Here is a 17151-nt window from a genome sequence, read left to right on the forward strand (position 1 = left end):
TAAACTGAGCTCTTGCCCACAGGGGAGCGGTGGAGGTTTGTAAACCATCTAAATAAATAATCACTGTGGTGGATAGTAAGTGTTTCAAACAAGAGAGTAAAGCAAAGGTGGCAGACCAAGTCATGTTCCACTGAGGTAGTATTTTTTTTTTTTTTTGGTTTGGCTGTGACAGTGTTACAAAAACATTTTCATTTTTTTTTTAATTTTAGCTGAGCATGCCTCCATTTTTCATATGCTAACAATCATAAGCTAGAAAACAGATCTGTTTTCTTCTTCATTCTGATCCTTTAGCACTGATAAGTAATGAATGAAATCTAGGTCATTGTAGAATTTTTCACTAACAATTTTCCCAAATTTCATTCTATGAATTTGGACAGAATTGTTTTTCCCCACCCCAAATGACTTGACAAATGTTATCCCTATTTGTGGAGGGGGAAGGTAAAGAGCAAACTGATGAGTCTTTAGCGGAGTGCTCTGCATACAAGGTCAGGGTGAGGGTTGATGAGGATTTGTTAAAGCTCCCAGATGTGTCTCTCAGGACAGAGTGAACCTAAGAAGCCAAGCTCAGGGATCAAAACAGCCTCGTCTAGAGTTCTTCCTCTGACTCTTGCCAGCTCTATGGCATTTGGGCCCTTTCTCCAACTTTTCTGAGATTCAATTTTCTCATCTGGAAAGTAGAATAATAATACCTCCTTTGTACATTCACATCAGGGATTTAATATCAAAATACAACCAAAGCATTTAATCTGTGAAAATAAAAATCTTTGACAAATTAAATATAACAGAGTTTAATTGAGCAAAGAATGATTCTCAAATTGGGCAGCCTTCGAGCCAGAGTAGGCTCAGAAAGACTCCAGTATAGCTACATGGTAGAAGAAGATTTATGGACAGAAAAAGGAAAATGACTTACAGAAAATGGGAATGAGGTACAGAAATAGCTGGATTGGTTACAGCTCAGCATTTGCCTTATTTGAACCCAGTTTAAACAGTTGGCCATCTTTGATTGGCCAAAACTTGGTGATTGGCACAAGAGTGGGTTATAGTTCATTTACACATCGGTGATTGGCACAAGAGTGGGTTGTAGTCCATTTACACATCCAGTTAGGTTACTACGCATGGAGAAAACTTTAGGTTGAAATATGTTAAGGAGGCAGCTTTAGGTTAAACTTCATTTAACAAATCCAATGACAAGGCATAGTAAATGCTCAATAAAAAGTAGTTCTTATTGGCTGGGCACGGTGGCTCATGCCTGTAATCCCAGCACTTTGGGAGGCCAAGGCGGGTGGATCACCTGAGGTTGGGAGTTTGAGACCAGCCTGACCAATATGGAGAAACCCCGTCTCTACTAAAAATACAAAATTAGCCAGACGTGGTGGCACATGCCTGTAATCCCAGCTACTAGGGAGGCTGAGTCAGGAGAATCGCTTGAACTGAGGAGGCGGAGGTTGTGGTGAGCCGAGATTGTGCCATTGCACTCCAGCCTGGGCAACAAGAGTGAAGCTCCGTCTCAAAAAAAAAAAAAAAGTAGTTCTTATTAAGAAACATAGTTCTGGTCAGGCACAGTGGCTCATGCCTGTAATCTCAGCACTTTGGGAGGCCGAGGTGGGTGGATCACCTGAGGTCAGGAGTTCAAGACCAGCCTGGCCAACATGGTGAAACCCCATCTCTACTAAAAACACAAAAGTCAGCTGGGAGTGGTGGTGCGTGCCTGTAATCCCAGCTACTTGGGAGGCTGAGGCAGGAGAATCGCTTGAACCCGGGAGATGGAGGTTGCAGTGAGCTGAGATTGTGCCACTGCACTCCAGCCTGGGTGATAGAGTGAGACTCGGTCTCAAAAAAAAAAAAAAAAACGAAAAAAGAAAAAGAAACATAGTTCTGATTCCCAATTATGCATCTTGCCCTCTGGACTCTGGCCTTTCCTTTTTTCATGGTTGTCACTGTGACACAGCGGATATTTGATGACTGCATTCAAGGGAGAGGGAAGAGCTCAGGTTTTGGGTTACCATTTTGCAACAGGCAACAGAACCTGGTGATGATGGAGTGAGCTCTGGAGTTGGGCTGATCTGCTTTTCTTGTAGTGTGACGTTGGTCAATTCAAAACATACATCAGTTTCTGTTTACTCAGTAGAGATAGAATAATAACCCTGTCTCCCAGGGTTTTGTAAGGATTAAATGAGATAAAGATTGTAAAGCGCGGGCACCAAGCTAGGCACAAGCTAGCTTCTATGTGTTCAGGGAAAGGTATTTGTGGTTATTATTACAATTATCATCATTTCTTAAACTCTATTTACTTCTCCTTGACTGCCATGGGAAGATAATACTAATTTCTGTTCAGGCTTATGTAAAACAGGAAGCAAGCTTTGGACCAATTCTCATGGATGGCAATAAAGGGACGCCAAGCAGAATTTCGATTGCAGATGTGCTAGGGCCGTCCTGCCGAGCATCCCGCCTGCCCCTCCCCAGAGGGCCTGTTAGTGCCTCTCCCACACGTTCTCATCCCCTGGACCCCAGCAGGCCTTTCCTCCTGGGGAAGAACGTTTTGTTCAAAAAACCACAGCATCACGTTGTTCTGTCCACTGGCATTTTCACCCACTGCTAGGTGCTACCTGGCATGTGGCTTTGATTGACAAGATTACTAATCCATTATAATCATATTTTCATAATTAGTCCCCACGAGGCTTGCTGGCTGCTCTTGCCCAGGTAAACTCCTGCCTGCCGCAGACTGTTTTCACCAACTGTCACCTCCCCAGGAGGGAGCTGTTGGTCTAGCACCCACAGCTGTTGCTAGGAATCGCTTTTGAATTGTTCCTGATCTTCCCTTTTTTTTGGCACTTGGCTGCTAGGAATCCTTGCTTGATTAAAAGTTACAATTGTTGACTTCAGACTTGAACTTGTAGCAGAAATGGCTTTGGTTTTTCCATCTTCCTGATCACACACTGCTTGTTCCTCTTCTGCAGTTCCTTCCCTCACATCCTCCCCATCCCCCAAATCCCTGCGGCAAGGGCGAGAGGAAACTTCAAAGGCACTTCTGAATAAAAGAACACACGGTGGGACATCAATTATTTACCAGGCAAAGTTTTGGCAGGCACAGGGGCCTTTCCCTGTTTGTTTTGCTGAAGCGGGCAGGAAGAGTGATTTTGGAGGTTGCATTGTGCCTGCCCATACCTACCACTGTGGCCACAAAGGTTTGTCGAGCTCTGTCTAGACTCTTCCTTGGTACTCTGGCCCTGCACTGATTCGATAAAGAGTGACCAGGATGATATTACTCATTGAGCCCTTGCTGTACGCTAGACCCTTGCTAACAGCTTCTATTCATCATCTTGTTGAATCCTTGCAGCAACCTTAGGAAGTTGATATTAACCTTTCTCTCCATTTTACAGGCAGATGATGAGTGAAGGTACAGAAAAGTTAGATGACTTGCCCAGGGTCCTTTGGCTGGAAGCTAGCAGATCTGAGACTTGAGCCAGGCCTCATCTCTCCAGAGCAGGTATGTGTAACCACTATATTATACTCTACAGTGAGCATGAGCTACAGTGACAAGGAACTGGCACTACTAGGAGGAGGTGGCAGTGTCTTTAAGAGGGGAACTAGAAGTCTTCGAGGAAGAGGAGGCCTTGGAGACAGGAGGTTTTCTAGTCCTTTCTTGGTAAATGGAGAGATGGAAATGTGTTTTCTTTGTGCCCTGCACGGGGCTAGAGGAGGAAACTGCTGCAGGGCTTCCACGAGGACATATGGCCTCTGTCACTGGGCTCGGGTACCATTTGTTGACTCCATTGTGTGGGCTTGTGTCCCCGGATGACTCAGCTTGTGACTCTCATGAGGTCATCCGAATAATTAAAACCAGGGTACCCCTGGCTTCTGCTCTCACCCACTCAACAATTTCTTGGAATCTCCAAGTGCTTTATACTGGCATATCACCAGCTGCCCAAGTCATTTTTATTGGGGTATGGGAAGGAATTTATTGGGTTAGCTTGAATTCTGTTATTTTCCTCTTTATTTGTTAATATTTATAGAGTGCTTGCTAAATGCCAGATACTCTTGATAAGAATATTTTCACACATTATCTCAATCTTTTTACCCATGCTGGCAGGTAGGCTTTGTTATGCCCATTTTACTGGTGGGGGTGGGGGGGGTGGTGGGTGGAGAGAGAGAGAGAGAGAGAGAGAGAGAGAGAGAGAGAGGGAGGGGGATCGATCCATCCATCCTTATGCCCTTTAGTAAGGGATCTTAACCCAATCATCAATGGAAGAACTGAATCTTTAAATCTTCCTTTCTCCTTGAAGACCTCTGCTCCTCATTCTCTATGTCTAAAGCTAGCATTATTAATATTATGGATTCTGAGAGTTAATAACTTTTGAAGTTTTGGATGAATACTCCTTGTGAAGTGTGCACATATTTAGGCTTTGAGCACCAAGCTGGTACACTGGCCTCCAAAGGCTTACCTTTGTCTGGTTAAGCACTCAGAGGGCTCAAAATACATTTAGAGGAAAGTCCTGCTGTGGATGGAAGAAAAATTGTTGGCGTCTCAGCTGGACTCATGGTGAGACTCACAGTGACCAAGGTCAAATTCCCCAGGAAAGGATTCCTAACTACATCTGACCAGGCTGCCAATGCATAGACATACAAGACAGTGAATTTTCTTTGGCAAGATAACTTGCATTGCCTTCTCTGCAGAGATCACAGAGCTATAGCTCAATACATCAGAGTTGTTGAGAAAACATGGATGTCCACATCACCTGAATTTCCTAATAGGGTGGTGAGCCTAACAGCAACTATTTAGGAAATTAGGGTAGACAAGTGGAACCGGTTTTTTGCCCGGGTTTGGTGTTGAATACAATGCCTACTTGGGATTGTGTTCAGAGTATTTCCTTACAGTTTCAAATGATCTCATAATTTGACCACGGAATCTAGATGGTCTTCCAAGGACCTAAAATGTCATATTAGCCTGGATAGTGTTTGCATCTACAGACTTCTTTATCATGTGGTACAAGGGGAACCAGTTAATGGCAATAACCTACTTCTTCCTTGCTACCTCTTGGCCCCCTCCTAACTTGCATAATTTGCCCCCATGTGTTCATGGGTGTATGAAGAGCTGCCTGTTGTGCCTACAAATAATCCCCTCCCATTTTTCCCTTTTGTCTTCACGCTCCTCAGTGATGTCCATCTTTCGTCATTATTGGCAGTGACCTTCGTAAGAGTTCATTATGAATCTGTTATGTTTCAGTCAATGCACCAGGGTTCCTAGCCTTATGGACATTCCAGTGAGGGGAGGCACACATTAAACAAACATATCCCTGAAGAGGTTTTCTCTTGAGATGCGGAAAGCTGCACATCCTCTCCATACCTGAATGGGGCTGTATTTCCTGTCTCAAATGTTCTATTCCCCTGCTACACTGCCTATTTTTGCCTGATCTCTAAATCAGCTTCATGCACTGTTTAAAACCACTTCTAGCTTCTGCCAACTCCAGGTTGCTCAGACACTAATCCATGTCCAAGTCTGAGGTAGGTATTGAGGTAGGTGGAGGTCCAGGGTACAAAGACACCTACTCCCCTACTTGACTGAGTGTTTTCCTCTAGGTGCTCTCAAGCATCATAACTTCTAAGGTCCATTTCAAAGTCTTTGACAGCCATGCTTAGAAGTTGGGTTTAAATCGTGTACATATGTACATGTGTATATGTGTGTACATACGTATTGGTGTGTACATACACCTGTGTGTATATATGCATGTGTGTGTAGGCACACACAAACACATATACATTGTCTTACTTTTTAAAGGTAAATTTCAGGGATCTTCTGTGAAAAGAGACTCTGAAATGATTAAGGAACATCCTATGTGGAAGAGGCAAAATGAGGCTCTTGATAATTTGTTGATCTATCCCAAGAGTGTTCCTGGGCTCCAGGGGATTAGAGGAATAAGCAACTTTGATACTATAATTCCTGAAGTATTAATGAGCTGTGTATGGAGACTCCATCATGGAAACACTATTTCAAATAGAGGTGGTGGGGTTTCTCATGATGGCACGCTTTCCACCCTGACTCTTTCTGTAGAACTTTGCACAATTGGATCCTTCTTATTAGATCTTAGTTCAAATGTCACTTCTTTGAAGCAGTTTTCCTTTACCCTCCAACTAAAGCTGTTCTCCCATTATACCCTAAAATCTCTATCATATTACTCTGTATCATTTTTTTTTGAGATGGAGTTTCACTCTCGTTGCCCAGGCTGGAGTTCAGTGGCACGATCTCGGCCCACTGCAACTTCTGCCTCCCAGGTTCAGGTGATTCTTCTGCCTCAGCCTCCCAAGTAGCTGGGATTACAGGTGCCCGCCACCACGCCTGCCTAACTTTTGTATTTTTAGTAGATACTGGGTTTCACCATGTTGGCCAGGCTGGTTTTGAACTCCTGACCTCAGGTGATCTGCCCACCTCGGCCTCCCAAAGTGCTGGGATTACAGGCATGAGCCACCATGCTTGGCCCTACTCTGTATCATTTTTAATGACCTTGATCATTGTCTGAAATTATCCTAGTTTTAAAATTAATTTCTCCATTTTTCTCTCCCTCTTGCCCCCCAGTGGATGTGTATGTATACACACACCCACACCTACACACACCCACACACACATGCATACACAACTATATGCACATATACACATTCCCCAGAAAGAATACTCTGCAGTAGTGGAGCTCTTGTTGGTTAAGTTTCCACAGCCTGAAACAATACCTGGTACATAGTTGGGGCCTGATAAATATTTGTTGAGTGAATGAATGAATGAATGTTTTTTCCCCCCGATTATGTTTGCTGGATGACTGGTGGGTATTAGGCATCCAGCATCTGTCGTTTTCGACCAGTCTTCCCCATTTTTGGGAGAAAATAATTGGCTCATTAAGAACTGCATCTACATTGGCGTCACATTCTGTACTGCAGAGCCATGCCACCAGGCCTGAAATATTAATAACATGTGGAACTGGCTGTCCCTGTTTTGCAACTGCTTTAGCATCATTGACTCTTGAGTTGAGAAATGTTTGCCATTTGACTTCTCATCTGCCTCTTCGTCGGGGATTGGGGAGGGCAGAAGTGCCTTAGGAGTTCTTTGCTGTCCAGGAGACAGAGGCTGAACTTCCTGAGAACAGAAGCTTATGGAAGGTGTCTGTGAATTCAGGGAGGTTTCTGCTTGTAGCTCGAGCCTTGCCAACTCTGTGCACATGACAGGTTAACTGAGTGACTAAGGCAGTGATACATAGACTCTGAGAGGACTGGAAATGTGTCCTCACAGGGTTGTAGGCTGTCATTTATCAGCGTCTGAGAAACATCAAGAAATAAATCTGATTTTTTCCCCTTTCCCTGCCTCTCTTTTCCTCTGATCACTGATTAAGTCCAGACTCTCAGTCATTCTGCTTACAGAAGGGCTGAAGTCACACTAAAAACTAAAACTTGACATATTCTGCACTGGCGTGAAAATCGGATAAAATCCCTGGGTTTAGGTTAACTTCTCTGCAGTAACTTTATAGAATAAGGGTGATTCCTGAACACTTTACAGCTTCCATAGCTGTTCCATATTCATGATTGCACTGAATTCTTAGAAGAACCCTGTGAAGCATATAGTGATTTTTATCCCCATCTTCAGGATAAGGACACTGAGATTTAGAGAGGATGACTTTCTAAAGGACAGACAGCCAGAAAGAGGCAGGGCTGGAATTGAAACCCCAGTAATGAGAGTCCATGACCAGTGTTCTTTTTGTTATGTCCTAGCTGCCTTCTAGAACTCAAGTTGGAATATACAGTTTTAAATATTGGCCCATTAGGAAAGTGTGACTTTTGTAGTTTAAGCCGTTTTAAAGGCATAAGCAAAGTATGAGAAAAAGCAACTTTCAGAGAGCTCCCTAAATGGGCTGGGGAGGAACATGTGTGTGCATGTGCTTGTATGTATGTGTGTACATGCATGCATGTGTGTGTGTGTGTACTTGTGTGTGGCAGAGGGAAATGAAGAGGAGAGGGAAGCGGAAAGTATGGCTCTGGGAGTGTGCAGAGGGTCGGTAGTGGAGAGGACTCACATTCAGGAAAATGTGGTAATTTTTTTGGTACTGTAATTCTCAATAGGCCCCAGGCTTAGACATATTTACCATTTCTTTCCTAAAATGCTTCATCCTGCCTGTTGCTAATTTTAAAATAGAATTATATACGTGATAACTATCTTTGTGAATTGAATAGTTCAATTTACATTAGCCAAAGTAACTCAGCTCTATAAAACTATTCTGTTACTCCAAGGAAAATTCATTGTAGATTTATATCTTTGTGGCTGATGCTTTTTTTTTTTTTTTGTGAAAATTTGTGAGTGGCCATTATGTGTTGTGTATTATGCTAGGTGCTTGAAGGGCTGCAAATATCAGGTAAGCGTAATACTTACCTTCAAGGAGATTGCAATCTGTTAGAGGAATTAATGCAAGGATATAAATATGGTAATGTGTGATAGGATGAGTTAAGTTTCACAGGAATTTGCAAGGACCACCTAGGGTTCAGACATTAGTGTCATATCTGATGAGATGAGGAGGTTTTGAAATGAACCCAGAAGGAGGTACATTTATATAGTCAGATATAGGAAGGGTATCCTAGGCAGAGGAAACCGAGTTAACAGAGGTAGAGAGGCAGAAAAGCATACAGGCTTATTCAGAGAACAGAGTGTCTTAGTTTGACTGGTATTTAGATTACTCCTAGAGCAGTGTACTTAAACTTTTTAAAACTAGGGACCATTTAGGCAAAATACTTCACAGTTCACCCATTGCCTATCCACAGGAAGTTCACGTATCGACATGTGTGCATGTGGTTTTGTACAATAGCCAGACTGTTTAGAATACTGCATTGGAGTTCTTGAGAAACTCTCTATGGTGTTCATGAGAGCTTATGACTACCTAATTTTGGTCCCCTTGCCTACTTAGTGGATTTTCAGTAAAAATGTTCAGTTATAGGTATAAACAATCATCTGTGAAATTGTTCATAATTAGCTTTTGAGGTCTGAGGAAAAGACTAGCAGTTTTGGATCAGTTCCTGGTCCTTATTTCCATGGGCCATATTTTGAGAAGCCTTGGTCTGGGAGGATGACGGGAGACACAACAACCCAGAGACATATTGTAGAGATGCTTTCATGCCAGACTGAAGACCTATCCTTAATTTGTACTTAATTGCCATTAAGGGTATTTAAATAGCAGTGGAACCTTTTGAGGTTTCTTTTTTTTTTTTTTTTGAGACAGGGTTTTGTTTTGTCATCCAGGTTGGCGGGAAGTGACATGATTATGGCCCACTGCAGCCTTGACCTCCTGGGTTCAAGTGATCCTCTCCCCTCAGCCTCCTGAGTAGCTAGGACCACAGGCATGCACCACCACTTCCAGCTAATTTTAAAATAATCTTCTGTAGAGATAGGAGTTCCTTATGATGACCAGGCTGGTCTCAAACTCCTGGGCTCAAGAAATCTACCTACCTTTGCCTTCCAAAGTGCTGGGATTATAGGTATGAGCCACTGCACCCAGCCTGGGGTTTCCTTTTAAGGAGGAAACAATGTTTGTGAAGGATTGGAGGAGAGAGTGATTGGAGTCAAGGTCACCTGTTAAAAGAGAGATGATGCCTTTGAGGGTAGAAATGAGGAAACAGGTTATAGCAAACTTGCAGAGATAGAATCAACAGACTTGGCAAATTGAGGGGATTTAAACTGTGGGAAAGAGGGAGCAGAAGAGTGGGTGGCTCAGAGGGCTGGGAGCAACACCAAATGAAAATATGCCATGAACACAAATTGGCAAATGAGAAGAACTCCTTTGTTAGGGGAAGACAATACATTCTTTTAAAAAATGATTCCTGAGAAATTCAGAACTGAAAAAAGATTTCCAGAAACTTTTAGGTAACATGTGGTGAATCACAGGGAAACAGTTTTAAATTTCCAACCATAACTCCATCACAACAGATTTGTTAACCTTAAGGAACAGATATCACAGAGCAAAATAGTACCTTTGCTTTGATGAGTGTGACTCATATTAGACACTAAGGGTATCAAAAGTCAGGATGGGTGGATGCGTCAGTGAGTACCCCCTCCTTCTGGACTACATCACATATGGAAGTTTCATGTCCACTTGGTACTCTCTTAATTTGTTTTTCACTCAGAGATCTCTAGAAAATCTTCTGAAGTGTAGAAGAATCTCCATCAACTGCCCAGAGTGGGTTTACCTGCCCAACAGAGTAGGTGGAACTGGCTGCTAAGTTTTGAAAGAGCCTCTTGTTAACTGTGCTGTCTCCTCCTAAAAGCATCACTCTGTGGCACCCCTCCAGGAGCTCCATTCCCTTGGATGAATGGTGTGGCCCCTGGACTTATGCAACATGGCAGCCCGGATTCCCATTGAACTGTCTCTTTCTTGGATGGTGATAATTTGCTGTGGGCCCTTTTGCGTTAAAAGCAAATGCAAGAGTTCTGAGGGGACAGTGCCATTTGGGCAGTTGGTGACCCCACCTCTGCTCTCCAGTGCTCTGCTGCCATCACTTTTATTGTCCTCACCCCATGGCATTGCAGTGTCTCTCTTTATAGGGCCTGTTTTCCCAACTAGACTTCTCAAGAGTAAGGCAGAGCAGATGACAATGTGGCAGGATGTCCTCTTGTTTTCAGCAGGACAGAAGCTGAATGAAGAGTGGGGGAAAAGGTCAGGTTTTCTCAAGTGGTTATTGTCTAAAAGCACAAAGCTGTATCCATGTGGCTGTGTTGGATGGATAAGTTTCTGCCTAGTAAACCATGGAGTATCCAAGGCTTTGATAGAGACAGAGAGGAATTACTCAGAAGGGAATGAAAAGGACACAGATTTCATGAACTGCATTTGTCATGGACTGCTACCTAAAAGGACTTTCTTTTAACTTTCCAATGCCTTTGAGAATGTGTATAATCAAGCTCTTATCAGTAATTAAAGCCACGGCATGAATGAACTCATCAAACCACAGTCCTCTCTGCTTGCCACCTGGGAGCATGGCACTGAGGTGATAAGTGGGTGGGTTGGAAGACAAGGAGAGAGTTAACACATGTCGGGTTTTTAAATTGTCAGCAGAGAGCAGCAAAGATGAGGAAGGCTGTGACGGCAAAGAAGGAGGGAACTCAGGACATTCAGGTGCTGGGCGAGCCAAGGTGATGTTGCCTACTTTATAATTTGGGCAGGGCAGGAAGTGTTGATAACTCCTTTGCTGCCAGACAACCTGCATCTAGTACAGGCATGTATCAGACCCAGCCAAATGCCAGTGCGCTATTATACACATCGTGAAGCTGCTTCCTGTGTAAAAACCCAGAAGGGCTGAAATTTTGCCTTTTTTAGATACAAAAAAATGGATAACCAGGTGATTCACTTACTCATGAGTAGCAGTGAGAAACAAAACCTGCCAATGTTCATGGATGGAAGGAAGCTTTGTCAAATCAGGGCTGGGATAACCAGCTCCTGGAGATTTGCATGAATCTACCTGACTACAGAGTTGAAGCCACCAATTCTTGCCCTGCATTTTGTGGTAGGCCATATGGTATTGGTATCTGACTAGTAGGAAATACAAGCCTCTGGTCTGTGGAAAAGAAGAAGGTGTTAAAGGAGTTTAGAGATTTTTCTAGAAGACACGCCTTGAGAGAGTTCACCAACACTGTACAAGGATTAGGACCGGACAAGTGGAAAGTGATGCCTTGGTTGGCAAGTGGCCCAATGCTGGAAGTGAGATGAACAAGCTCTTTCTGTAGAATAAACCATTAGGTTAACCTGAGACAGAGGAGATGAGGCTTGGAACCTCTGCTCACCAGGTTGATGAAATCTTATCTTGACACGAGAGGACCAGGATCACAATGACAAGTGAAGGGAATATGGCTGACAGCTGCTTACAACTCCTGTATGTGGAAAAGTCACCTCCACTCATATTTTTTTTTGGCTAACACTAGGCACATGGCCCCAGGACCATCCTGTCTTTTGCCCAGAAGAACAGAAATATTCTGTGAAATTCTCTAAAATTCCCGTAGCATCGCTTAAGTGATGATTATGTGGCCATTCCACTGACCTGAGATTAGAGACATGAAAACTTGGACGTGCTGGGTAGTATTCCAATGGGAGAATCTGCCTGAGGAGGAATCAAACGTGGGCGAAAGTAAAGCTGAGAGAAGGACAGAAATAGAATTCTGATGACATATTGTTGGAGGTGCTGGATCTAGTTGTGCCCGAAGCTACCCCTGAGCTTCGAAGGTATGTGAAATACTACAACCCACGTTTTTTGTTTTCTTAGGCCAGTTTGCATTGGGTTTCTGCCATTTGATACCTACAAGTTTCTTGACTAATATGGTGATGATAAGTGTCTTCATGTCTGAATTCTCGAATACTTATTGTTCCTTTAGCACATGCTGTGCTTTTCTGTTTTCACATTTGTACTATTCCTTCGGCTCAAAATACCTTCCATTTCTTTTTTCTTCCATCTGGTGGACAAAATCTGACTTCTCCTTCAATGTACACTTGCTTACTGTCTCCTGTGCAAAATGCTTCCTGATCTACATCCCTTCCCTATCTTTAGTTAAAATCCATCTTTTTCTCCTATGTTTGGTAATAAACTTGAACTTCTCTTATAGCATTTGTCATATTCTGTCTTGTACTAGGCAGCGCTTATGGAGCCTATCAGGGCTCTGGACACATCACCCCAAAATATGACTGTAAGAGTCAAAATATGCCACCCCAAAATATACTTCTTTGGTATATTCTGAGCTGGTTATTCTGAGAAATTGTAGACACAAGAGTGGCTCTGAAAAGCTGCCCTGTCATAAAAGAAAATTTACCACTGTAAGAGAAATCTACATTAGTAACTGTATCTGTATTGGGAAAAGGGCTGCTTCAGGCAACCTTTATTACCTGAGATACTTTTTATCTGCATAATGAGACAATCTTTATTCAACATACATTTCCACCCTTGACCCTTCCATAACTTGTTGCTACCTGCTTCCAGAAGCCCTAGCCCCTGTTCCTTTGTGTGGGTAGCTCAGGATGCTATATAAGCTTCAATCATCTGACCCTTCTTCAAGTCTCATATTTTGTGGGACTCCATTGCATACATATGTAATTTAATATGGTTCTTCTCTTGTCTTATGTCAATTTAATTTGTAACCCAGCCAAAGAACCTAGCAGGAAGTAAGGAAGCCAATATTCACTCACCTGCAAGTGCTTACTGGGTACTTTATATTCTTATAGGCATACATGCTTTTATTCTTCAAATAATCCTATGAAGTAGGCACTGTTATCCCCATTTTGCACATAAAGAAAGGGCAATTTAGAAAAATTGAGTGATTTGGCTTAGATCCTATAACTGTGATCTGGGATGGGGAACCCAGGTGACCTGGCTCCAGAGCTCACATCATTCACCCCTGTGGTTATTTGGAGGCCTGGCGTGTCTGTTCTTCTAGACTGTATCCTGTCTTCTAGGGAGCCTAGAGTCAAATTGAGGATCACACCTAGCAAGCTACAGAATTTTACAGGCTGTAATTTGGGTGTTAATTTTATTCCTAGCTTCACCTTATGTTTCTTGTCCTCATTTTATTTCTTTCCTGATTTCTTCACCAGCTTATTCTGAGTTTCATTTTATCTCATTTGTAAGATTTGCATTTCTGTAAACCACCTCAATCCTTTTCAGGCTGAAAAGCAAATAAATAAATACATGAAAATAAAATTAAATGCTAGATTTTAAGTTCCTTCAAGGTAAGATCCAACTTTGTTTATCTAAGCATTTTCTGCAGGTCCCAGCTCTAGAACCCAGGAAAATGTATCTTAAATGTATTTGAAGTGAAATCTCCGGATCCTGAGGATTAAGAAGTGTCAGGCATAGGGAAGTGTTCGGTGGTGTGGCTGTGCCCAAAATTTCTATGGAGGGGGGTGCAGCAGAAGGTGGTGGGGGTGGTGCCTGCTCTTTTCTTACCAGAGAGAATAAAATAAAACATTTTGCTGCAGCAGAAAAGAATTCACTTTTCCGTCCTGCTTTCTGGAGAGCTGAATATTTTACCTGCAGCAACATTCTGAATTTCTTGTGGAGACTCAAAATGGTGTCTGAAAAACTATTTTTGAGGCTTTTAGTTACCCAGGAAAAACCAAGGTGCTGACTGCCAAGAAGGGCTGGAGTTGTCTTTTATTACATCCTTTGTGGCTTACAGGTTTGTGGCTCCTTGGTGTGAAGGAGCAGAATGCAGTGCAAGCCACCCTCTCAGCTTGCTCCATGCTGTGCCCTCCTCTGAGAATAATTTAGGACTTATTTTCTTCCATTGTTAAGCATTGCTTGGTCGAAGCAGACACAAATTGAGTTGCAATGCCTGCATTAATGCTCATTTACAGCTAGAATTAGGAAAGCAGCCAAGTTTGGTGGGCTGTAGAAGTGGCAGCTTCTGAGAGGGTGACTCTTCCCAAGGTGGCTGGAGAGAGAACAGGAAGATGAGCACAGAAAGCCATCTGACAGCACATCCTGCATTGTCTCTTTTCTCTTAGAGCCCCTCCCCCTTCTTCCATTCTCTCTCTGACATGATTCGACTGTTTTGGATTTCCAAAATCCTGCAGGCATTCATTTTTATCCAAAACATGTCCTGAATGTTCACTGTGTACCAGGCACTGTGCTGGATCCTGGGGCAGTCATGAGACATAGGAAAGCTACTCTGATTGAGTAAATTTGTCATTTGGAGCATGATTGTTGCTAGTGTTTTGAGCACGGTTGGCTGACAGGGATCAGTAAACACCAAAATAGCCATACAGAGTAATTTGCATGGGGAGTATGGACTTACTATGTATGTATGTCTGGGTGAAGAGAGAGGAATACGGTGACCCACTTAACACCCTCTGTATTTAGTCTTATGCAGAATCAATATCTCAGAAAATAAACAATTGACTGAAATTCAGGTACAATTCCTGCCTATACACAGTCAGTATGGACTGGGCTGTCTCTTGTGGTTGTGCAAGTTTGTAGTTTTATGTGCAGTCTATCAAGCTCTCTTCCTCTCTCTATTTTTTGGTCACTCTTCTCTGTCTCTCAGTCTCAGTCTTTTTTCCCATGTGTCCCTCAAGGAAGGCAATTCCTTTACGTATTTCCTCTTCTTTTGAGCATCCTGTGTTGAGGAGTAGAGATAATCCCAAACGTGGTAGACAGGAACCATGGCAGTGAGTTCCAGTTGCCCAGACTGCCTACTTAAGGCTCGGATCAGTAAAGGATGTTTCCTTTGGCATGGATGGAAAGAAGCTAGAATGTAGGATGGAAAAACTTGTAAGCTCTGACTAAAATCAAAAGAATATCTGTGAGTAGTGAGTTGCAAGTAATAGATTGTAAAATCTGTTCTTTTAAAGGATATTATTTACACTATTAGAAATAATATCTACATAAGCTTTAATCACACAATAATCAGGAGTTTAATGCACACTGTTTGTTGATCAGTGTTTTGGCAGGAAAAAGATGAGACACTCAGGGTAATTCAGGTGAGCTGAAGAGATGGAAGGGGTAAGGAAAACCAACAAGGGGTGGTATAGCACTTTAGGGTTAGCAAGAGTTGAGCGATATTACCACACTTAGCCCTATGAGGTCAAGAGGAAGAGGGAGTTACTGAAACCTAGAGAAAGTAGGGGCTATCCAGTAGGAGCTCTGGCCTTTGAGAGAGAGAGATCTTGCAAGAAGGAGTCCAAAAAATACTCTGACCTCACTCTGATTTCTTGCTGGTGCTTCCTATTGACTGAATTCACTAGAAGCCAGAGGCCAAGGAATTCTGTGAATTCAACTGATAAAGTCATCCCCCTGGAGCACCAAACAGGATGGAGAAGAGTGGACGATATCTCTGGAGAGGAAAAGGGAAAAAGATCCAGTAGTTCATAAAGAAGCAAAGTGATATAGCAAAATGGCAATTGGATTATAACTGGGAAGACGTGAACTTTAGTATTGACTACCGTTTACCAGTCAGTCGACTTTGGGAAACACATCATCCTTCTGAACCTCAGTTTTGTCAGCTATAACATGGCAAGAAACAGCCCTTGGCTTGTTATACCAATTGAGTGATGAGGTAATACTTTTAGAACAATGCTGTTTGAAGAAAGAGGCCATTATGAAAATTCATTGTCAACACATCTGGCATTTAATCCTATTTATTCTGTGTTGTGTAGATATAAATCAAGTCACGGTGAGCTTCTCAGATTTTATCTGTGGCTTTCTTCCAAAGCAAAAAAAAAAAAAAAAACCAAACCTACATTGACCTCAAACGGGTGCTTCCACCTCGGCTGTAATTTGTGCTCCATAGGTAATGAAAATACTTGTTTGATGTCAAAAGGAAGTACGCCAAACTGTCATTAAGGTAGAATTGAAAGGTTAACTCCACCACATGCCTCTTTTGAGTACGTGAAAGACGGTTTTTGAAATGGGAGCATCATATACCTCTTGGCTCCATTAAGGCTGAGGAGAGAGTAAACCATGCATGGGTAAGTCCTCTCTGTGTTTGTTAACATTTTAATTCAGTAGTTGGGCTTCATCTCTAGGAATTAAAAACTTAACTGTCATATCTTTATACCTCAGTGCATTAGAGATCTATTAGGGTATCTGTGCCACCTATGACTCTTCTCTGACTACTGCCTCAGAATGCCATGACAGCCATGTTGTTACTATGTGACCCAATAGATAAAGATGGTGGACACCTGGCCCAATGGTCTCTCAGCTAGGAAGCCAATCCTTTGCTAGATGTTTGAGCTTAAGTCAAACTTGAGAGCTGGGGTGCAATAATCTTCCACCATATTTGTGGAGGAAAGGAGGAACCAATCTACTAAAAGACAATGGGGCAGATGTAAAGGAAATGAGGTAGAAGAGACACCAGAAAACCCACAGTAGAGAGGGAAGGGACACAGTGTGAAGTAAGGGCATGAGAATGAGAGAGCCAATCTCCTGGTTCCTGAAGGCTTTCTATTTCTCGGTTCCTGTCAGTTTGCAAGGCCTGACCACAGTGAGATTAGCTCTTCCCCAGCAGAGCTGTGTAGATGGGTTTTCTGATATTTGTAGTCGAAAGAACCCTAAGAAACACAGGCTTATGGGTAATGGACACCCTTGGGAATGTGGAAACCAGCCTGGGAAAACAACCAATGGGCCTGTTTCTATCTGAAGAGCTTTCTTTAT

At 42.7% G+C, this 17151-nt stretch overlaps 1 annotated feature.

The window, feature by feature from the left end:
* Positions 2596 to 3215: an enhancer, noted in NCBI's record as "NANOG-H3K4me1 hESC enhancer chr5:154653816-154654435 (GRCh37/hg19 assembly coordinates)". NCBI's record gives its function as "activates a minimal SCP1, AML or CMV promoter by ChIP-STARR-seq in naive H9 embryonic stem cells {active_cell/tissue: H9 hESC(naive)}" and the evidence as "EXISTENCE:reporter gene assay evidence [ECO:0000049][PMID:30033119]".

The sequence above is a fragment of the Homo sapiens genome, chromosome 5 (assembly GCF_000001405.40).
Source record: "Homo sapiens chromosome 5, GRCh38.p14 Primary Assembly".
In the NCBI taxonomy this organism is placed as follows: domain Eukaryota; kingdom Metazoa; phylum Chordata; class Mammalia; order Primates; family Hominidae; genus Homo; species Homo sapiens.